Source organism: Homo sapiens, chromosome 13, assembly GCF_000001405.40.
Source record: "Homo sapiens chromosome 13, GRCh38.p14 Primary Assembly".
Lineage (NCBI taxonomy): Eukaryota > Metazoa > Chordata > Mammalia > Primates > Hominidae > Homo > Homo sapiens.
In genome coordinates, this window is record NC_000013.11 from 50,385,862 (window position 1) to 50,409,656 (window position 23,795).

Below are 23,795 nucleotides of genomic sequence, written 5' to 3' on the forward strand. Positions count from 1 at the left end.
GCCTTAGGGACCATGCATGTGGATGTGCAAATCCAGGATGTAGAATAAAGACGTGTGGTGGTTGCTGTCACAATGAAGGGTGCATTCCCACTTAAAGACATTCAGATTCCAATGCTTTAAAGCCCTGTGCCAGCCCAAATGAATAAATAAGTCCTTACCTGGACTGTCTGGCAATTGCAATCCCTGCTCCAGTACAGCCTGGGCCTCATCCCCATGTTCCCTTGATTTATTACAAGAGGTCCATAAACACAGGTGCCAACCAAACCTTGTCTGTAGACTCTGTAATGCCACTCATATACTCACCTCTTAGTAAATTAAATTGCAAACTCACTTGTTAAATTCAAATTAATTTCCGAACCTTTTTTATTGGATACTTTCTTAATCATGATGATATATGGGGTTTATCCAGATTTTTTAAAAAATTCACTTTTTGAATTATAAAAGTCATGCATACGTATATGTTTATTGTGAAAAGATACATTTCTTTTCCTCCTGTGGATCTTCCCCTCAGAATTCCAGTTCTAATTCTACTCCTTGTGTGAACCCCTGAACATGCACCCATGCCCATTCATTTTTCTGGGCCCCTCACAGCAGCTCTAGCACCTCCACCTAAAAGGATTGAAAGGGAAGATGAGACCCCATTGCAGAATATTTGAAGTGGTTACTCATCAGCCCTGTATATACATATTAAAATTCTCTGAGTTGTTACAGCAGCTGTTGCAACTGAAAATAATTCAGCAAACAGGATCATTTTCTGTGTAGTTTATGGGCTCGGGAACAGTCCAGAAGCTTTGGAATTTGAGTTACTGTCAGCCCGCTGCTCAGCCAATCTCCACATGTCACAGGCTGGTAATTTGATCTACAGCTCCCTTGAAGTGAGTTTGTACTGAACACAGAAAGCTCTTTTTTCCCCCTTTTTGCCAAACGCTAAATAGCCTTTTATGTGTGTCTTTTTTCCCCTTACACAATCACGATTTGATTCAACAAAAATATTACACACCTTCTTCCTGAGGATTTTGTGTCCTTTTCTTGGACTCGCAGCTACACATTTTGGGCAGCAAGTTCCCTTGTTCCCTCGGCAGCTGCCTGCGCGCAGTCCTCCGGAGAGCCTAGGCCTGGGAGAGACCGCCTTGGATTTAGCTGGGCCTAAGAAAACACAGGCACAGCAGTGAGAAAAATATTATCTTCCAATTCCCCTTCCTTTCAAGACTCAGGAAATCTGCTTCTTTTCAGTGCTCTTATCACTGCTGTGAAGTTTTGATTTTTCCAATCTCCAGTGGTGGTTTAAAAGGAGCTTAGAGCAGAAGCTGAAAGGGCCTCCTGTATTTAGAGAGCAGAAGCCCCACCTGCTGTCTCTGGGGCACCTCCCAGTGGCCAGGGCCAGGGGGTGTGTCTGATGATGGAGACAGTTGGAGCCACTTCAGCACTGGCGCCGAGTTTATTTCATCTGCTGATATTTAGATTGTGGTGGGGAGGGCAGAATGCCTGATGATGCCGTCAGTTCACCACCATGCAACAGGTAGCCTGCTTTCCAGCTACTTTGCATGATATCCAGACTTTCTGGCATCAAGGCTTGGTGGCTCACAGGGCTTGAGGCAACACTACTCTGTAGCTTCCATTTTTTTTAGTGATTCCCTCACCGGTGGTGGATCTACCTAAGATCACAGTGGCCACGGTGGTATGCTATTTTGGGTTACTGAAAACTGAAACCTGTTTTTCGCTGAAGACAGTTTGCCTAACAGTTTAATAACCTTTATACTTAGAATATCAGGAGTCCTGTCTGTCTGATCAGCCAGTGGTACCATTAAGGAAAAATGAAAGATTGGTTTTCAGAGTCACTGAAGTTCTGGTGATATTTTAAATAAAAATTGAATACTTGGACATCTAAACTTATTTGATTGAAGCCTTGGGATGCCTAAAGTCATTGTGGTTGAGATTATATCTGTTTATGGCTGACAAAAATTATCATAAGTGTATAGAGTCTTATGTTGGGGACCTTGCTGTCCATCTCGAGACCATCTGCAGAAAATCCCAACAGCTGCAGTTTACTTCTCATTTTTCAGAATAGAGATTGATTATGAAGGAGGCACAAAACAAACCAATAAACAAAAAACCCAAATATTTGATTATGGCATTAACTTTATGGTCATTTCTAGAGGAGTGTGTGAGAGACATTAACTAGGTTCTGATTCTTGGAATAGATTAGACATTGGCCTTGCACCCAGCTCCACGGAATGATGTCCCCAGAAGGCCTTGCTTGTGCCTGGACACTGATGTCTGAGGAGTACGCTTCCCTGAGCTTTCCATGGGTCAATCTTAGAGGGCAGGGCTCCATGATCCTGGCCTTGACTGAAGGGGGAAGGATAGATTGGAGGTTTTTCCAAAGACTCACTGGAATTTGGAGATAAAATATTTAATAGGTTGAAAGCCTTTACAAGGGAGAACTCTGGTCTCCCTGTGAACGATGACCAAATATGGTAAAAATGTTCCCATTTCTGGTGGATCAATCAGTCCTTAAATATTTCTAGAATAACTTCCATGGTTAAAATCTGGATCCAGATTTTCTAATGAGCAATTTGCAGAAAGAACCCACCTGCATCAAATGGCAAAGTCAGAACCACGTGCAAGAGTGAACTGCACAGCCCTTGCTTAGCAACATGCCGCTTGTAGCCCACTGGGGGTGGAGTGCCCTCCAATCCAGACTCTACACTAAGAAATTAGGTAATTCAATGGCAATAGTAATTTTAGCTGCAGTTTAAGGAACGTTTACAGCTTTGAAACAGGAAATGGAAAACAATAAGTAAGAAACTATAAAATAAATTGAGCACATAGCTTTCTGTTACATTTTATACCCAGTGGTATGGAAAGTTTACTTAAGGAAATGACAAGGCTTATTTAGAGGACCAGCAACTTCTGGAGTCTTTTATTGAAATGGAAATGGGAGCAATGTTGGATACTCTTAAGGCTATTTCTTTGTAAATTCCCAATTGGGAAGCTTTAATATGTGTCCAGAAGGATTTAAAGACATTTTTCTTTTAATATTTACATGCCATATTATAATAAGATGAATCTTTGCTGTGAATTTGAATCTGAATATTAATGTTGGCTGTATTTTATTGAGTGATTATAGTGAGCCAGGCTCTGTATTAAGCACTTAAAATGACTGAGCTTATTTAATTTATTTAACATTATGATGTAGGTATTATTATTATCTCCATTTTACAGATGAGAAAACTGAAGATAAGAAAAATTCTGCAGCTTGCCTAGAATATGGCTGCTAGCAAATGTTGTAAAGGAACTCAGATCTGCCCATTCCCAGAGCCTGAGGTCTTAATCTATTCTGCTGACTTAAATTCTGTATCATGAGTTTCACAACCTGAAGCTTGGGAACTCCTGTGGAGCCCTGGAGTGATGTTTAAGGAATACTTCAGTGAGCTGTACACACTACAACTCCCATATTGCATTTTAGTTTTTAAAAATAGTTTCTTTAAAATAAATGCAAGAGGGGTCTCTGAACAATATGCTCAGGTCTCCAAACTGGCTGAATTTACCACGGACTATTTTTCTAGCATTTGGATTTTAACAGAAGCAGAGCAAAGTTGGGATGACCACACCCTTCCTGGGCTTCAAGGACTTTAAAAATGTCCTGGCTGCCCCAGAAGTTGGAGAGCTCTACATTTCAGCGTTGGTGGTGTGTGTTGTCTGAATGAAATGGGTTAGGGGTAGTGGGGAGATAAGAGGATTTATAGCCTAAAGAAGGTCAGGGAATCCCAGTGGCCCACCTGCTTTAGAGTCTCAATTTTCTCAACTTTAAATGGAAATGATATCATTACCTATGTAATCTGAGTGTTGTTAAATGCATTAAATTAGGCAATACATGTGAATAAAGCTTATGAGTTATTATTTTGGAGGTATTTAATGTGTTCTCCCCTCCTTGACAGTGGGCTGATATTTTACCATCCTGTTTCTAAGGCCCTGTTAAAGTTGTTTTTCTGAGCGTGCTCTATCCATCAGGATCCTGGCAGGAAACAGATGGTGCGCTCATGCTGGGAAGAGTTTAATAAAGGAACTGTTTACAAAAGTGTGCGCAGGATTTAGGAAAAGCAACAAGGGATGTTGCAGCGCCCCAGTAGAGGGCCATTACCAACACTAAGCCAGAAGGGTGGAAGGAAAGGAGTGTTTACCAGCACCTAGAGAGGTTTTTGAGAGGGCTGCCTGATAGTTAATGTGGCCTTTGGTGGAGGAATGCAATCAAGTCACAGAAACCTACCAGGGAGAGATCTTGGGGGAAAAATATCCTGACCTCACTTTCCTCCCTCCCTTTAATCTCCTGCAGGTATTCTCCACTGGTTGAATGCAAATGGAAGCCAGAGGAAAAGGGAACCCTTGACACAGTTTTCATATAGATTGGCCTCCAGGGCAGACAGCAGGTGAGAGTGGAGAGTGGGGCTGGGGGACAAAGAGCAGGTATGGAGCACAGCATGTGGCTCTCCACATGTTTACCAGTAACCTTCATCACTCTTGCCAGACTGGACCGAGAATCAACTCAGCCCATAATTATGCTGTCGTGGTGCCTCTACCTCCTTTTCTGTGTTTTCTCAATTTCCAGAAACTTATTCTCCACTTCCAAGCTGTCTTGTGTTCTTTTGCTCCTCTAAGTCTTCTTATTGTGGAAAAATGAACACAAAAAGTTAACTCACACACTTAAATGTCTTATGCCTAATTGTTACTTTAAAATGTGCATACTTATTTTCACTTCTGGGATGGCTAAATTGCTACCAGACTGACCACAGATAAACAATACAAAGAACAACTATCTGAAGGTGAGTAACTGTAAGCAGATTATGGGGATTAGTTGGCACATGTGTGAAAGGATAAGACAAGGTGTGTCTTCCCCTATTTATGGTTTTTAGCTTAAGAGCAGGCCTTAGACAATGCCCATAGTCTTTCTGGCCTGACGAACTAGAAGAAAAAGTTGAGAGCAGCCAGAGCCAGAAGAAAGTGAGAGGAAACCTCTAAAAGAAGAGTGCCAGAGAGGGGAGCCCCAAATTCCATGCATCAGGTGCCCAACTTTCTGGCTGAGTCCCAAACTTTGTGTGCATGTGGCACACTGCAAGCAGCTCAGTAAAGGGTCAATGACCTAACTGAGATAAGAGCTACTGCCCAAAAGACAGAGTTTGCAGTTTTGTCAAAACAAAAACATCACACTCGACGGGAGAAGTGTAACAGAAATGCAGAATCTCCCTAACAAAACATTCCCAGTGTCCAGGAAACCATCCAGAATTACCCAACATACAAAGAGCAGGAACCAGATTCCTGACCTATTCTGAAGAGAAAATATAATCAATGAAGATCAATCTTGAGATGACCTAGATATTGGAATTAATAGATGTAGACTTTAAAGCAACTGTTACTACAGTAATTAAAGGAACATTTATATTTTTATGTGCTTGTATTAGAAAAGAAGAAAAGTCTAAATTAATGACCTAAGGCTACCTTAAAAAGCCAAAAGATTAGAATAAGTTAAATCCCAATGCAGTAGAAGAGTAGAACTAATTAAGGTAGGAAAAGATATCAACAAAATATAAAACAACATTAGAGGAACTATATTGGTTATAAGAGATGCAGTTTAAGTATAAAGACACAGGTAGGAGTAAAACTGATTCTTGAAAAGATCAAGAAAATTGATAGAACCATAGCTAGACTGATCAAGAGAAAAAGAACACAAATAATCAATATCAGGAATGAAAAAGGGGATATAACTACAGATCCTGCAGACATATAATAAGATGATATGTTGACTACCCTTTTTGCCTGCTGATTTCTGGACACTAGGAGTCCAACATGCCTTGTGAACAATCATAAATTATAGTTCAGTGGGACACTTGCTGTGTCCTCTGGCGAAAATGTGCCCTTCTAGGGTCAAAGCCTACAGAACCCAGAATTATGGGGGCAGGAAGGACAGAAATCCCCCAGTGGGTCACTGGGAGTGATGACAAGTGTGATCCTTCCTATTTCCACCCCTTGGTTACATGTTCAGTACACTGGAACATATTCAGAGCTTTTTGGGTGTAAAGATTTGGGTACAGGAATACTGTCATTGAGAGCAGTGCTCCAAAATTCCTTCCATAAATACTGAGGTGTCTCCATCACCGTGGCCAGATTTTCATATTTTTTTCACCCCTGGCCATGTAACACACCTCACAGCAGACCCTTTGCTTGAACAGCTTATCTGTTTGCTTCCTATCACTTCTGCAGGAGAAAAATGGAGTGGAATGGGGGCAAGAACCTAGTTCTTTCTGCAGGAGAGATAGTTAATGCTTATGGTGTGCATTTTTATATGCCCCAATCTCCCTAGCAGTTAGTTCAGGGCCATGTGATTTGTTCTGGCCAATGGGTGTGAGCAGATCTTCTGAGTTGAGGCAGTGAAGAGCCAGTGTGGTTCCTCTGTGGCTCTCTTTTTTGGGTATGGCAACCTTGGAGGCCGTGTGTTCCAGATGGTGTAGCTGTGAGTTTCAGGAGCACTGCCCAACAAACAGCAACTTTATGTCCTGTCAAAGCAACCTTTATCCTGCTAAGCCTCTGAGATTCCTGGTTTGCTTGTTGTGGGTAGCAAGTGCTAATTACCTTGATTAATAAATCTATTCTCTCCACACCCATCAATCAATAAAAAATTCAGAACCCTGATTATAAATGTTTTCACAGTTGGTCAGCTAAGAGTTTCTTGTAGATTGCTATGCATTTAGCATTTTGCTGGGTTTTTTGTTATCAGTGCCCACTCTGAGTGGGTGGAGCCCCCTTTCCTGGTGGGTTATGGACTCCCTTATATCAGCAGATGAATAGAGGTTAAGAAGCATCACGAGTCAGCTTTATTTAGTTCTTATCTGGACATGGACAAGGTTACAGTCTACCCAGATATGCAGAGAGTATTCAGTGCTACATACTCAAGCTCCTTTCCTGGCTAAATTTCTGTTGGTTGCTCCCATTCCTATAACTGGAACATCACCTGTTAATTTCTTAATGTATGTGCACACAACAGATTCTTACTATGTATTCTCTGTCTAGCCAGGAGCATTACAACTGCTTCCACCACACCACCTCATTTGGCTATCTGAGTCTTCGGGTTAATTTCTGAGCAATTAGTGCTGTTGTGGTCATTGGGTTTTGTTTTGTTTTGTTTTGTTTTGTTTTTAGGCTCAATCTTATCAGATTGGATGCCTCTTGCTTTGAACCCACACTTTGTTGCCTCACCCTTATGACTCCTCTATTTCCCTCTTCATCCTTTTATTAAACAAAACTTATTAACTCTGTAATCAGACCAGCAGCATTGTGCAATAGGCACAAATGTTAGGTGCCTTACACATGCAATTTTGTGCCCAACTTTGGCAGCAGTTGTTTTTATTCTGTCTTCACAGATGAGGAAATGGAGGCCCAGTGAAGACACAGGAGAAGTATTAGTGACCTGCTACTTTTAGATATAATCTGTATAGAGAAATAATATGGATATAAAAGAAGTTGCTAAAAATAATCGTAATATCTGTATATTGTAAACCAGCAGTCCCCAATGTTTTTGGCACCGAGGACAGGTTTTGTGGAAGACAATTCTTCCACAGACCAGGGGCGGTCGGGGGATGGTTTCAGGATGATTCAAGCACATTATATTAATTTTGCAATTTATTTCTATTATTATTACATTGTAATATGTAATGAAATAATTTTACAACTCACCATAATGTAGAATCAGTGGAAGCCCTGAGCTTGTTTTCCTACAAGCTTATATGGGACTCCATATGGGGTTGATGGGAGACAGTGACAGATCATCAGGCAGGCATTAGATTCTAATAAGGAGCATGCAACCTAGATTCCTCCCATGTGCAGTTCACAATAGGGTTTGCGTTCTTGTGAGGCTCCAGTGCCGCCGCTGATCTGACAGGAGGCGGAGCTCAGGCAGTAATGTGAGCAGTGGGGAGCAGCTGTGAATATGATGAAGCTTCCCTTGCTCGCCCACTGCTCACCTCCTGCTGTGTGGCTTGGTTCCTAACAGGCCATGAACCAGTATTGGTCCACGTGGCCCAGGGGCTGGGGATCCCTGTTGTAAACTACTTAACATTGCTAAGAAAAACTAAAGAAGATATAAATAAATGGAACAATATTCTGAATTCTTGGAATGAAAGAATCAATATTGTTAGTTGTCTCCAAATTGATGTATAAATTCAAAGCATTCCCAGTGAAAATCCCAGAAGGCTTTTTTTTTCTTTTATCTTTTTTTTTTTTTTTGGTAGAAGTTGATAAGATGATTCTAAAATTTATATAGAAATGCAAAGGACTTAGAATAGCCAAGATAATTTTGAAAAACAACAAAGTTGGGGGACTCATACTACCTAATTTTGAGACATAAAACTATTGTAATCAAGGTAGTGTGGTAATGGTATCAAGATGGACAATATATAAGTAGATATAATGGAAACATACATCTCATGTATCTGGTGAATTGACTTTTATAAAGGTTTAAAGGCACTTCAACAGAGAAAGCATAGTCTTCTTAACAATTGATCATCCATTCATAAAAACAGGAAAAAAAAAAAGCAGAAAACTCCTTTGATTCAAACCTTGCAACATATCCAAATCCAAAAGAGATCATAGGCCTACTTTCAAGATCTAAAAATATAAAATTTCTAGAAGGAAACAGAAGAGAACATCTTTGTGACAAGGTATTAGGAAAAATGTTTATAAATCCCATACCAAAAGAATAAACCATAAAAGAAAAAAATATAAATTGGACTTCATTCAAATTAAGAACCTCTATTCTTTGCAAGAAACTTAAGAAAATGAAGAATATCCACCTATTGGAAGAAAATATTTTCAAATCACATATCTAATAAGACTTGCATACAGAATATATAAAGAATTCCCTTAACATAGTAATAAGAGAACAAATAAACCAGTAAAATAGGGCAAAATATTAGAACAGGTACTTTACCATAAAGGACATATGGATGGCAGATAAATGCATTAAAAATGTTCAATATCATTATTCCTTAGGGGCAGATTAAAACCACACTGAGATAGCACTACACATCTGTTAGAATAAAGACTGACCATAGCAAGTCGAGGGCAGGAAGCAACTGGAACTCTCATGTACTGCTGATGGATGTGTAAAATGGTACAATCATTCTAGAAAATAGCTAGTTTCTTTAAAAGCTAAACATATAGATAGCAAATAACCCAGTCATTTTACAGGTATTTACTGAAGAGCAATCAAAGTATGGGTCTATACAAGGACTGAACATGATTATTCATAGAAGCTTTATTTTAATAGTCAAAAACTAGAAACAACCCATATGTCCATCAGTGTCCATCAATAGATGAATGGATAAATAAACGGTGGTATAGCTATACAATGGGATACTTATCAATAAAATAAATGAACTATTAGCACATGCAACATGAGTGAAATTCAATGTAATTATACTGATAGAAGCAGATAAAAATGACATACTGTATGATTTTATTTATACACAAATCTAGAAAATTCAGATATTTATAGTGACAGAAAGCAGATAAGTAGTTGCCTGGGGATAGGGGGAGTGGAGAGTAGTCGAAGAAAAGGATTTCAAAGGGGCTAGAAAAACGTCTTGGGATGATGGATATGTTCATAATCTTGATTGTGGTGACAGTTTTATAGGTATATGTATATGTATGACGTCAAACTTATCAGATTGTACTTATATAAAATAAGTACATTATTTTATATCATTTACACCTCAATAAAGGTGCTAATAGCAAGTAAATAGGGGATATTCATTGAAAGGCAGGTGATGATAGGGTAAAACAATTTAGCTTTGAAGCCAGGATGCCTGGGTTACTAATTTTTTCTTCTCCTCACTGGTTGTATCACTTTGGACTGGTTAACTCTTCTGGGCCTTTTTTTCTATGTCTAAAATGGAGAAAACTATTCCAACTTCTGTGGGTTCTTGTGAGCATTAAGTTGGTTTATTAATATAAAGCACTTATGGTACTCCCTGGTATGTAAGAAGTATTTAACAAATGTTAAGAAATTATTATGCACTGGGCACCATGTGAAGTGTTTTATGAGAATTATCTCATTTAAACTTCACAGTCTCTGAAACAAGTAACAATCCTTATCCTTTGTACCAACATCTAAGTGAAAAGGAGAAAACCAAGCTGCAAAGAGGAGGTTTAACTTATCCCAGATTGGTTACACAGGAGGCAAGAAGCAGAAGCCAGATTTGAGTAAAGGCAGTCAAACTTCAGAACCCACACTTTTAATCCTGTGATTAAGTGCTAACAGGTGGGGCACTGACTCAAGTGCTAATAAGAAAGTTGTCTAGACAGTGCCCATGTTTTCAGAGCATTTCATTCTCTGAGCCTTGTGAAACTATTGAAGACCAACATGTTTGGGCAGCTTTCTGAGAGTGCCTCTTATGATTACTCCTGGCAATCATCTTAGTGCTCATCAAACCTATTTCTTCTTCCTGGGCACAGGGTCAAACTATTTCCCAGCCTTCTTGTATCTGGTGAGGTCATGTTGAGAGGTGACAGCATGCTGGCAGTCCTCACAACCCTTGCTCACTCTCGGCGCCTCCTCTGCCTGGGCTCCCACTTTGACGGCACTTGAGGAGCCCTTCAGCCCACCGCTGTACTGTGGGAGCCCCTTTCTGGACTGGCCAAGGCCAGAGCTGGCTCCCTCAGCTTGCAGGGAGGTGTGGAGGGAGAGGCGCGAGCGGGAACTGGGGCTGCGCGCGGCGCTTGCGGGCCAGCTGGAGTTCCGGGTGGGCGTGGGCTTGGCGGGCCCCGCATTCGGAGCAGCCGGCTGGCCCTGCCGACCCCGGGCAATGAGGGGCTTAGCTCCCGGGCCAGCGGCTGCGGAGGGGGTACTGGGTCCCCCAGCAGTGCCAGCCCACCGGCGCTGCTCTCGATTTCTCACCGGGCCTTAGCTGCCTTCCCGCGGGGCAGGGCTGGGGACCTGCAGCCCGCCATGCCTGAGCCTCCCACCCACTCCATGGGCTCCTGTGCGGCCTCCCCGATGAGCACCGCCCCCTGCTCCAGGGCGCCCAGTCCCATCGACCACCCAAGGGCTGAGGAGTGCGGGTGCACAGCGCGGGACTGGCAGGCACCTTCACCTGCAGCCCCAGTGCAGGATCCACTGGGTGAAGCCAGCTGGGCTCCTGAGTCTGGTGGGGACGTGGAGAACCTTTATGTCTAGCTCAGGGATTGTAAATACACCAATCGGCACTCTGTATCTAGCTCAGGGTTTGTAAACACACCAGTCAGCACTCTGTGTCTAGCTCAGGGTTTGTGAATGCACCAATCGACACTCTGTATCTAGCTACTCTGGTGGGGCCTTGGAGAACCTTTGTGTTGACACTCTGTATCTAGCTAATCTGGTGGGGACTGGAGAACCTTTGTGTCTAGCTCAGGGATTGTAAACGCACCAATCAGCACCCTGTCAAAACAGACCACTGAGCTCTACCAATCAGCAGGATGTGGGTGGGGCCAGATAAGAGAATAAAAGCAGGCTGCCGGAGCTAGCAGTGGCAACCCGCTGGGGTCCCCTTCCACACTGTGGAAGCTTTGTTCTTTCGCTCTTTGCAATAAATCTTGCTACTGCTCACTCTTTGGGTCCACACTGCTTTTATGAGCTGTAACTTACCGTGAAGGTCTGCAGCTTCACTCCTGAAGCCAGCGAGACCACAAGCCCACCGGGAGGAAAGAACAACTCTAGATGCGCGGCCTTAAGAGCTGTAATACTCACCTGGAAGGTCTGCAGCTTCACTCCTGAGCCAGCGAGACCACGAACCCCACCAGAAGGAAGAAACTCCGAACACATCCGAACATCAGAAGGAACAAACTCCAGACGCGCCATCTTAAGAGCTGTAACACTCACGGCGAGGGTCCACGGCTTCATTCTTGAAGTCAGTGAGACCAAGAACCCACCAATTCCGGACACAATGTGACTAGTTCTTGCCAATGCAATGTGAGCAAAGCAGTGTGTCATTTCTAGGCCAAGGCAGGTAAGAGTGGATGGGCTTTCTCCTTTCTCTGCTTTCCCTACCCATTTCTGCTGGTTTGTGTTTAAAATGGAGGAGCCACAGCATGGGAGAAGCCTGCTTCCTGAAAGACCACCTGGAGCAGAGCCCCTATTGCTGACCTGTGCAGAACCATACTTTATGTGTTAAGTCACTGAGATTCTGAGATTATTTATTAAAACAAGTAACATGACATTGCCAATGTGCTACTCTTATGCCAGTATGTCACTCTTATGCCAATACGTTACTCTTATGAAATATTACCTTTGCTGAAACATTCCATCTCTTAGAATTTCTAAAATATGGGTCAAATACGTAGACGGACTCTTTTGCTAGGAGATGGACCACAGAGTTTTGTAGTAGAAGTTTAAGTAATAGGAAATAATATATAATTAGTAGGAGATAACATATGAATGACACATGGAATAAGAGTTTCAATATTTATTTATTTATCTGAGATGGAGTCTTGCTCTGTCGCAAGTTGGAGTGCAGTGGTGTGATCTCAACTCACTGCAACCTCTGCCTCCCGGGTTCAAGTGATTCCCTTGCCTCAGCCTCCTGAGTAGCTGAGATTACTACATGTGTGCACCACCATGCCTGGCTAATTTTTGTATTTTTAGTAGAGACGGAGTTTCACCATGTTGGTCAGGCTGGTCTCGAACTCCTGACCTTGTGATCCGCCTGCCTCGGCCTCCCAAAGTGTTTCAATATTTAAATTCCTTCCAAGTTACAATATTTAAATATCCTTCATCTCACTCATGGAGTCTGAGTGGTGACCAGTGTTCTTCATTCCAATTCCCTGTTGGCTTTTGCTCTGTGTGCATCCTGTTTCTTGGGGCTTTAGTTGTGGGCATCAGCTCTTGGCTTTCCAAGATCCACAAGAAATTGCATAATCTCTGGCCATCTCAGATGTAAAATTATTTCCTTGGGTTGTTTTAAAACCTACCCCTCACATCTCAAAAACCTATTCAATGGGACAGGTTGCCACCATCTGTTTTTCAACTGCCATTTTTTTTTCTTTCTTGCTCGTTGGAAGGTTTGTCTTCTAATTATTTTATCAGCTTCCCCATTTGTGATGTGTCTTCTTTCATACTGTGCCCTGTCTGTACTATGACAATTCATGGTCTGCAGACAGCGCTCTGGTTCCTGGCCCACAGCTGGGTTGCAACTCCATTAGTCTCCCGGCACCAGAGTCTTCTCTTGGGTTTCTGGGGTTCCAAGTGAGAGACAGAAAAAGAACACTCAGCACCCTGGTTTGGGGACCATCTGTGACAGCCTGAACACATAGCATTATTTTTATGTTTTCCCTCTTTTCTAGTTCTGTATTGGAAAAAAAAAAAAAAGAAAAGGCCAGAGATAGTAGCCTTTGTATTACTGGAGTTCAAGAGGTTTAGGGAGAGGACAGCTGTTCACAATGCTGGATAGTGAGGACCTCATGTCATCGTCATGGAAGGGGGCTTGATTCTAGTCATCTGGTTCTGAGCACCTGCTGTTTTGGCAGACGGTGATCGATCACTTAGCACAGCACTTCAGAGGCTATCCAGAGGCTATCCAGAGGGGAATATGATCCTATAGCCCTATGCTCCCATTTTACTGATGAGGAAACTGAACCCTAGAGTCAAATTGAGAGTTCCTCAAAGATAGTCAACAGACCGAAGCCAGTCTGAGAACCACTTACTCCTGGTGGTTGGAATATAGAAAGTGACAGTAAGTTTTTAAAAACTTTTATGGTAATTTGACAGAGAAATTTTAAGTCATCTAGGCCTATATTTCATATGTCTTTAAAAGACCAGGTGTGTTGTCATTTGTTTTATTTTCTATAATAAACTTTATTTTGGGAACAGTTTTAGATTTACAGAAACATTCAGAAGATAGTACAGAGAGTTCGCGCATACTCTGCAGTATCTTATAGATAGTGTAAGACAGTAAAATTAATATATTACATTAGCTACAATTAGTGAACCAATACTGATACGTTATGATTCATTGAAATTCATACTTTATTCAGATATTCTTAGTTTTTAACCTAATGTCCTTTTTCTCTTTCAGAATCCTATCCAGCGATACCGTATTACCACTAATCATCATGTCTCTTCTTGATTGTGACAATTTCTCAGACTTTTCTTGGTTTCCATGACTTTGAAAGATTTGAAAATTATCGGGCAGGTGTTTTGTAGGATGTCCTTCAATTGGGATTTGCCTTTCTCATGATTAAACTGGGCTTATGGGTTTGGGGGAGGAAGACCAAAGAGCTGAAGTGCCATTTTCACCACATCATATCAAGGCTACATACTTTGCACAGGACTTATCACTGTTGTTGATGTTGACCTTGGTCGTCTGGCAGAGGCAGTCTTTGCCAGTTTTCTTTACTGTAAAGTTATCTTCTTCCCTGCCCCTACTTTCATACTATGCTCTTTTGAAGGCAGTTACTATGTGTAGGCCACACTTAGGGAGTGTGGAGTTGTAGTTTATTTTAGTGTACTTGACAAGAAATTGGTTTGTGATATATTGAAAGTGAAAATGGTCCTCCAACACTGCTCATTTGAGAAGCACTGCTCTAAAAACCCTGTGTAAGGGCACACAGAAGAAATGCTGGGACAGAGCCCAAGGCATCTTGGCTTCAGTCCCAGGTCCTGTCATTCCCCAGAGCCTAACTTGTGCATCCATCTAACTGTGGGGCCAATTTGGCTGGCTCTGTAACACCACAGACTACCCCCTAACTTTCCATGAATCTTAAGGAGTGCTTCAAGTCTTGGTGGACGTTTCTGGAATACTAGTTTCCTCAAACCTTGATGCATTCATTTGTCAGAGTTACTGTTTTAGGTCAGGTTCAATGGCAAATAGGTTCTGAGATGGAGATTTGTACACAGAAAATTCTTTTGGTGGGTGATAGGAGAAGGACAGGTCAGAAGGAGAAGTCAAACGTCAATGCAGTCCAAATAAAAGCCCCTGCCAATCTTACGGGGAGCTTTGGACCTGGGATGGCCGTTCAGAGTTGCTCTGAAATTAAGCAGAAAGATCAACTTTGACTGCCCCCACCCCACCCCACCAAACCCACCCAACACATACACATTGACCAGGTACTGGATTGGATACTGTCTGTCTTTGGGAGGGAGGTGTCACTGGGAAACGTGGCCCCCTTAGCCCATGGACATAACTTAAAAAGGAACTCAGCTAAGCCACCAGAAGTCAACACCCCTGGCAGCTGGGGGATGAATACTTAGGACCTGATGAGAGATCTGGATGGCACCCTGCAGCACTTGCCACAGATACGATTACTGTTTTTAATTCTTTTGCCTTTGTCTTGTGTCTAGATTCCAAGAACCAGGAGGTTGTTTGCTGTACTCTCCCTTGTACAGTTAGCTGTCTCTAGTGCCTGAATGCACTAATTGTCCTTTGGGTATGGATGAGGTAATGAAGGAAAGGGATGCTGGGAAGAGAGGCCACATGAGAAGGTTAGTGTGGGTGTAAGACACAATGCAGAGGATTTGTATTTGTGCCATCTGCCTGCTTCTATGATTCATCTGGGTCTGTGCACCCTTGTAATCAGCAGGCTGCAGCAAACTAAGTGTTGCTTGCTAAAGAAAAATGAAAGCTGGAATTTCAGCAGGGAAGAAAGTATATGCCCCACCGTGATGAGTACAAACACACAGCATCAGGGAAGCCACACAGAATGAAGCTCTGAGAAGACTGTTAGCATTTTCCCTCCACGCCCCAGGGGAAAAGGTGTAAGTAACAGAATTAGTCCAATTGGTCAAGAATTCATCTTTCCTGTCACTTGTCTCTTGTGGGAGTTCAAACTTACTCAGTCCCACCCATTTTGATTGAGAGTGAAAAGAAGGACATTTTAATTTAAGAGCAGAAGATGGAACTTGAGGGCAGAACAAATTTGGCAAATGTAAATTCTTATCCAAAAAGCATGCTTCCTGTACTTGGCACCTTGTTTCCCCGATTCTGCCTGATGTCCATCTCTTTTTCTCATTGCAGTTTGAATTCAGGCATGTGTCTTTCCTCTCAGCTTCACCATGCATAAGGGGATACTTGGCACGAATGAGCTCATCCTGGCTGATAGGAAAATCTTATAATTAGGCAAAGAAACTCAAAAGAACTGAAGCCCTTTTCCCTCCATGAGCATCTTTCACTAACTGGCCTAGGAGTTGGTGCCTACCAGTTGGATTATATGTAGCTATGGGGCAGGAAAGGGTTAAAGGATTTAGAAAGAATTGAAATAAAAATGAAAATTTTTTCCCTATTAAGATAGCAGAAGTTCGAATGTGAATCACTGTTTTGCATAATAAGCATGGCCATATAATAATAGCTAACATTGTTGAGTTCTTTCTTAGTGCTGGGCACTGTGCTAAGCACTTTATAGGGGTTATCTCATTTTATGTTCATCATGACTCAGTATTGTGGATATTATTACAACCCCTCAAGACAGATGATGAAACTAAGACTTGGAGAGGTTAGGCAAGTTGCCTAAGTGTGGAGATAAAATTCAAATCTAGGTACCAATGTTTTTGAACCACTCCTGTACTGCTTCAGTAGCTATGGGATGGGGATGGGGGAGTAGTTTGAATGGGAAAATCGGAAGTGTCCTCACATAGGCCTCCTAGGGAAAAGCCCTTCTGAAAAGCATCCTACTGTAAGTTTCCTTCTTGTAGCTTAGACCATTTTCTTTTGTGCTAACAAGAGAGACCAAAGGGACGGTTGAGATCTGAAACTTAAGTCAGAACCTTAAGATTGAATTTGGGACCTCTGATATTGACTCAGAGTCTGTGGCATGAAGATGATGACCAAGACCATAGATTTGGATAAGATTGTTCCAAGAGGAAACGTGCAAAAAGGAGGTTAAAGAGTTCAGGCTGGATTTTTGGGAAGCCAACATTTAAATTAGGACATGTAGAGGAAAATAAGCCAATAGGAAGGTCCAGAAAGAAGAGTTAATCGTTCTGTGGTAATCCAGGAGAGGGAGGTGTGTCGCTATCCAGAGGCAATGAGGCAAAACTGTCAGCTTGGATGACATCTTGTCTTCTAAGACAGGGGAGGTGGAAGGAAAGATCAGAAGAAAGGTGACTACATTAGAAGGTGGAGAGGAAGCAGAGTTAAGGAAGTCCACGCCAGGGCCTGTATAATCTTAAGGAAGTAGAATGTTCATTTCTTTGGGGTTTTCACACTCAATTCCTTCCTTCCCCAAGTACGCCCCAGGTGACACTCAAGCAGGAGTACCTCAACCCAAGAGTAATCCAGCTGTTGACCTTGACAAAATCGTGTTGGCTTGACAGAGAGAGAGAAAGCTGTGTCTGTGCCTTTGCTGGGAAGCTGGTGATAGAGACCATGGCTGCACGACTGCCAGCTTTCATGTGGCTCGGTTGACAGGGGTTTCACCCTCTGATGAAGTTCTCCAAACTTTCTTGGAAAACCAGCTGGGCAGGTTTACCTTTTGTCTACTGCCTTGGATGGATCTCATTTCTATCCTAGTTTGGGGTTAAGTATTTTCTGGCTGCCTCCTGCCCTTGGAGCATCCAGAGACAGGTGACATGTGGACACTCTGCTCACTCCTCTTTCTACTGGGAACTTTGGGCTGAGGCCAACTCTTGTGAGTGCTAAAGTGCTTGGGGGTTGGCAAATTCAAGGTAAACACTGCCTGACGTCAGACTCCTGTGAGATATCCTACATCCAGACTCCCAGAGTGGGAGCTTGCAGCCTGGCAGGTCTTCCTTTCCTTCAGTGCTTTGGTGCCTGCCTCATTTATGTGACTGTTAGTTGAATATTTTGTACTTTGAAAATATATGAAACCTATTAGTCAGTGGAGTAGGATTTTAGCACTCCAATCTCTCATTTTATGGACAGAGACTGAGGTTCAGAAAGGATTGACTTGTCCAAAGTCACATGGCTGGTTTGAATCCAGGTCTTCTGGTTCCTAGTCCATAGCTTTTCTCATTTTTATCATGCAATAAAAGGTAGCTCATCACAGAAATGTAAAGAGAAAGAATGGCGACCTCTCTCCTTTCCCACAATTCTTACCAGTTTTGTATCTCTTGCTCCCAGTTAGACAGGTTGTAATTGACTTTGTCTCTTCATGGAAGGATACCTGTAGCTCACACCCATAGCTAAAACCAACTCAATCCCTTGAATCATTTCTATTTGCAATCTATTTCTAGATTTAAAAAATTAGTGAACAAATCTCTTCTTTCTGCAGATAGGAATATACCCTTAGGGCAACAATCCTGGAGAAATTTGACTTAAATTTAAACCAGATTACAAAACACTGGGGACAGGCATTGGTGGAGTTGGGATGAGATTATCATAGTAGCTCAGCGATGAGTGTTTAGCATAGTCTATTCTAAGTTTATAACAACGCTGGGCATTGTTCTATTTTACTGTACAGGAAACTGGGTCACAAAGAAGTTAAGTAATTAACCCAGGTCCCTAGGGTTAATTATGTTAATTAAGTGTCAGTGCTGGATTTCAAATCTTCATTTAACTGGCTCTGATGGCTGTTCTCTTTCTACTACCCAGTGGTTCTCTAACTTGATGTATACAAATTTTCTGAGAAGATTATTTAAAAAGTAGTTTCCACCCAATCCAAGGATTCCGATTCAGCAGGGCTGAGGTAGGTTGGAGAATCTATATTTTAAAAAATGCCCTCAGTGGTTCTGGCATAAAGTGTTGGGAATTCCTGGAGGAAAAAAACAGAGAGGTGGGGGGCAGTGGGTGCAGATGGCAGCTTCCCCTCTTTGACAGCTTGGGGCTAGGCCAGACACTCTCCAAGTCTCACAGCCTCCCTAGACCTGGTCAGGTGTCCTCTGATTGCAAAGGGTGGGAAGCCTCGGCAAGCTGTGCTGGAGGAACTCGCATTAAGACAAGGCTCCCCAGCATGGAAATCCCAAGTTCACCCAGAAGTTTCAAAGTTAGGGATGTAGTTCCTTCTCTGTTGTTTTCCTTTCCAAAGAAAGACCCATTTCCAACCATACTCTAAGCCCAGAGGTGGACTTTTCCTTGTCTCTATTCTTAGTGTTGGCACAAGTTGCTGGCCCAGGGAAGTGCCCAGTGCTCATTGAATCATGACTGGTGGAGGGCATGCTCAGGCGTTCAGTCCTGGTGAGTTAGGTTCAAGGGCTTCCCTTTCTAAGTGTCTCCTGTTTGAGAGTTACACTCTGTATGGGGGCTACCCTTTGGAATGTAGCTCTAAGGAACACATAGCTGAGGGTCCCAAAGTAGGCAGTTTTCTAAGGGGCATAGAGATGAGTGTGTGTGATAGTTTTTATCCTCCCTGATATTTTACAAATTGAATCTCATTTACTTGTGGGAAAATACTATAGAGATTAAATTTCTAATCTAGCCAGCCTGTAATTATTTCTTTTCTTTAGCCAATCACTGATACTTCAGGCGGCTCCTTCCCAGTCCAGAGTCAGCAGCAAGTATCATTAACTCGCCTTCTAATATTTCTCCTGGATAATAAGACAAACAATCAGGAGATTCCAAGAGCCTGAACCCTAATCAAAGAATCCGGTCTTCTGGTTCCTCAATATCATCACATGCCCTAGGGCTCTAATTTTCCATGCCTACAAACCTCAAAACTCAAGTAAAGGCCTCTGATGATTTTCCGTAATGTGATTCCATGTGTTATAGTATTCCCTGCTCAGCTCCCACCTCCAAATGTACACTACATTTAAAGTAAGCCAACATGCACAGAGAGACAAGATAACTCACCATCTTGATAGTCGAAACTTTATCATTTACCTGAGTTTCCTCCTCCTCACCCATGTCATCCAGAAAACTGAAAATGGTCCAGGCACAAATTAATGAAACAGGTGGATGGGAGGCATGAGGTGGTCATGGTGGCTGTGGTGACCTGGCGGGAGTATGCGCTCCCCAAAGGAGGCAGGTTCCATTTAGACACATCCAGTTTATTCCAGGTGATAACATAGGCAAAGGGCTGGCAAGTGTTCTCATTCTTCAGGAGAAGCTGCAAATATGAATGAGATCTCCAGATTTAAAAGATGTTGGTGTTATAGACCGCCTATCTTTCCTTCCTTCCTTCCTTCTTTCCTCCCTTCCCTTCCCTTCCCTTTCTTTCCCTTTCCTTTCCTGCCTCCCTCCCTCCCTCTTCCCCCCCTCTTTCACTCCTTATTTCCTTGTTCTACAAATATTATTTATGTACTCCCCAAAATTCATATATTGAGGCCCTAACCCCTCTACCATGTGATGATAATGGAGATGGGATCTTTGAGAGGTAATGATGGTTAGATTAGATCATGCAGGTTGGGCCCTCATGGTGGGATTAGTGGCCTTATAAGAGGAAGAGAGAGAGATCTTTTGCTCGCCTCGCATACATTCACTGAGGAAAGGCCATGTGAGGACATAGTGAGAAATTGGCGACTACAGCGCAGGAGTGAGCCCTCACCAGGACCTGAATTCACTGGCACTTTGATCTTGGACTTTTCAGCCTTGAGAACTGGGAGAAAACACATTTCTGTTGCTTAAGCCACCTGGTCTATTGTATTTTATTAGAGCAGCTCGAGAAGACTAACACAGTTGATCATGAGTGCTGGACAACAAATTATATCCTTAGATCAGATGATTGCTGACCATTTGCCTGCTTTGTTGTAAAAAGGGCATTAAAAAATGAAATTAGGGATGGACGAGTGGGTACAAAAGGGAGAAGGAATTAACACAATTTTGAGGTATCAGCAGGTAGGTAGGGCTGGTTGGTTGTTTTCTAAACAGCTGTGCTCGAAGTAATATTTTAGCAAGATAGGGGCTTTGGAGCCTGCTTGGGAAGGCTCAGTTTCCTTCCTTCCTTCCCTTCCCTTCCCTTCCTTTCCCTTTCCCTTCCTTCCTTTCCTTTCCTTTCTTTCTTTCCTCCCTCCTTCTTTCCCCCCTCTCTCTCACTCCTTATTTCCTTGTCCTACAAATATTTATGGTGCACTCCCTCCCTAAGCACCTCCACCCCCCCAACCCCTGACCAACTGCACTAGGCCCCTGAGAATACAAAGGAGCAAATGACTTGGTCTTTGTGTTTCAGGAGCTTTAGGTTCCCTAGAGCTCTGATTTGTCTAAGTGGAGCTGTGAAAGGAGGGCAAGTTTTCCGGGCCATCATTTCTGCACCCTTGTCCCCTGGGAGTTGACATAGAACTAGTGGCTGCTCTGATTCAGAGTCAAGTGAGAGGAGGTGCTTGAATGCTGCTCTCCTGTATCAACATCCCCCTCCTAATTTAGATCAGAATTGATTCTTTGGTTGTGGGCAGCATGGCAGAGGGGAGAAGGTTCAGAGAGGCTGCATTACTCAATCGCTTTCCTTCGGGCAGGTTGGATTGTGATTGCCATGAAGTGAAAACATCCATAACCCTGAGTGGTCATGGGTTTGAGCATGTGTAGCCACTGCTCCTATAACTTGGCTGCTGGTGGCTGGTGGTAACCAGGACAAAGAGAGAAGAGACTCTTATGTTAGAGAAATGTAGTGTTTATAATAAAATAAACCTTATAGCATTTCTAAAAAAAGTATTCAGGCAAGTAAATGACAGTCAATAAACCATCTGCTAGTGAGGTCCACCCAAAGCCCATTCATGTATTTACTCAGTAACCTATCATTGTGGAGGGCATTGGATTAGGAGCTGTGGATATTGGTGATTAAGCTGCAGGTCTTGCTTGGTCTGGCAATTGAAAAACTGATTTTTCCAAATACTGTATCTGCATATCTTGGCTTCATGAAGATAAGGACCTGTGGCTGCAAAGGTCTAGGGGGTAGAGCAGAGGGCTTCTGGCATTTAATCTCTGTTAAAAATACTTTTCAAAATCATTTTACCAGCATATCAAAGCTGTAAAATATATTAAGTTAAATGAGAAAAAAAATCAGAGATGTAACTGTTAAAATCTAGAGTATTTTAGTTGAAAGACTGGGACATGAAAAGTAAATTTTCAACTTGAGAACACTTTGTCTCAGGGAGGTTTAAAAAAAACACCTTAAAAATAACAAGAGCTTCAAAGCAAGTGTTTTTATCACTGGCAAGGCAGGTGGTCCCACGTTTATTGTATGCAGGGTTCAGGGAAGCTTAAACTTAAAATTTTTAATGATTTTTTAAAGTTCAGCTAAAAGACATTATTCTGGGATAGAAAAAAGTCTATTTATTCCACTCTAGGTACTCCGAAGCAGGGTATGGATTCTGCTTTCATCTTTCAATGCAAGCCTGTTTCCACAGGGTTGAGATCTGGCATGGACAATTTCAGCCTGAAACGATTACTTTTGGAAATTTGCAGTGAGTGGAAACAGTCATGTAGAGCTGTGGATCTTGCTACCTGGATCAATAACTTCTTCTAGTTAAGCTTCTTGCCAAGGAAAAGCAAGGAATATCAAATTTCATAGACCTAATGAACCACTGGAAACTGCTTGCACCCATGTGTGCAAGGATCGCTTTTTATGATTTATACAAACCAAAGCACTCATTGGAATAAGAATAATAGCTAACGTTTATTTATCATTTATTATCCTGGCCACTGTGCCAAGTATTTATATACAGTGAGTTATTTAATCCCTGCAACAACCCATGGGTAGGTACTATTATTTTTCCTTCTTTATAGATAAGAACATTGAGGCACAAAAATGCTAAATTACAGAGTGGGATCAATGTGTTGCTCGCTTAGAAAATGAGTCAAGTTCCATATGTGTGAGTAAATGTGAACATTCCCACTTCCTTGTCACTTGGTTTTCTTTCTCAAGTTTGGTGTGTTTGCTCTGTGTTCACAGGATATTGTTAACTTCTTAGTCCTTTGAAGAAAAATCAAATTTTTTCTTAAGAAGAGACTTTTGAAACTCACAATATGAATTCAAGAAGCAAAAAAGAAAATCGAATTTCACAAATGGGATACCAATAGCTTGGAAAAATCCATTGCTTTTGCAGGGTTTGTTATTGAGGGAACCCTGCCTTTCCCAGCATCCTTAACATTTCTTCCTCAAATAAAAGGTAATAAAATGCAACCAACTGACTCATTTTCTAAGTGAATGACATATTTACTCTACTCTTTAAGTTTAAACTCTAACCAATTCCCCAATCCTTAGTTCCCATGAAATGTAATGTTCTCTTCCTAAAATGTTTGGCCAAGTTGGGGAAGGTGGGCATGGCAGTGTGAGCCTGTAGCCAGGTTCCAAGGTTCGCTTGAGGTTAGGAGGTTGAGACTAGCCTGGGCAATATGGCAAGACTCTGTATCCACAAAAAAAAAAAAAAAAATTAAAAATTAAATGTTTGGTCTTCTACAACCTGGCTTTCCACTTCTCATTCCCAATCATGCTCTGGGACCACCTCTTTCCTGTGCTGAGGAAGGCTAAGGAAGCACTGTGTTCTTTGAACACAGTGCTCAATCCATCCTGCATTGATGCCTTTGCTATGACAGTTTCCTCTGGTCTCTTCCTCCTCTGAGTCTAGCTTGAGGGCCACTTCCGAACAGCTGCAGAGTTGAGCTGCTCCTCGGTACACTTCACTGTTGAACCAACCTGGGCCACAGGTGTTGCAGTGAGGTTGTCTTCAGAGCCTCACCCTACAGGAAGAAAGTCTGTGAAGTTTCTGGCCCTGGCACAAAGCTGCAGAATCTTGGTGAATCAAACAACTTCTCCAAGCCTCAAAGAAGGCACTTTAAAAATTGTGAAGCACTAACTGAAGGAGAGGAGAGTGTCAAGGATTCCATCCTCCACTTACTAGTAGCTGTCTTATTCATTTGGGACTGCCGACCCCCAGATAGCCTTCATCC

General features: G+C 42.3%; 1 long non-coding RNA gene across 1 annotated transcript in view; it reads left to right on the plus strand.

Moving 5' to 3' along the window:
- Positions 1-23,795, plus strand: part of DLEU1 (deleted in lymphocytic leukemia 1) — a 446,475-nt gene that overhangs the window by 303,693 nt on the left and 118,987 nt on the right. The window contains exon 3 of the long non-coding RNA NR_109974.1: positions 4,337-4,430. This is a non-coding gene — a long non-coding RNA (deleted in lymphocytic leukemia 1). The remainder of the gene's footprint in view (positions 1-4,336; positions 4,431-23,795) is intronic.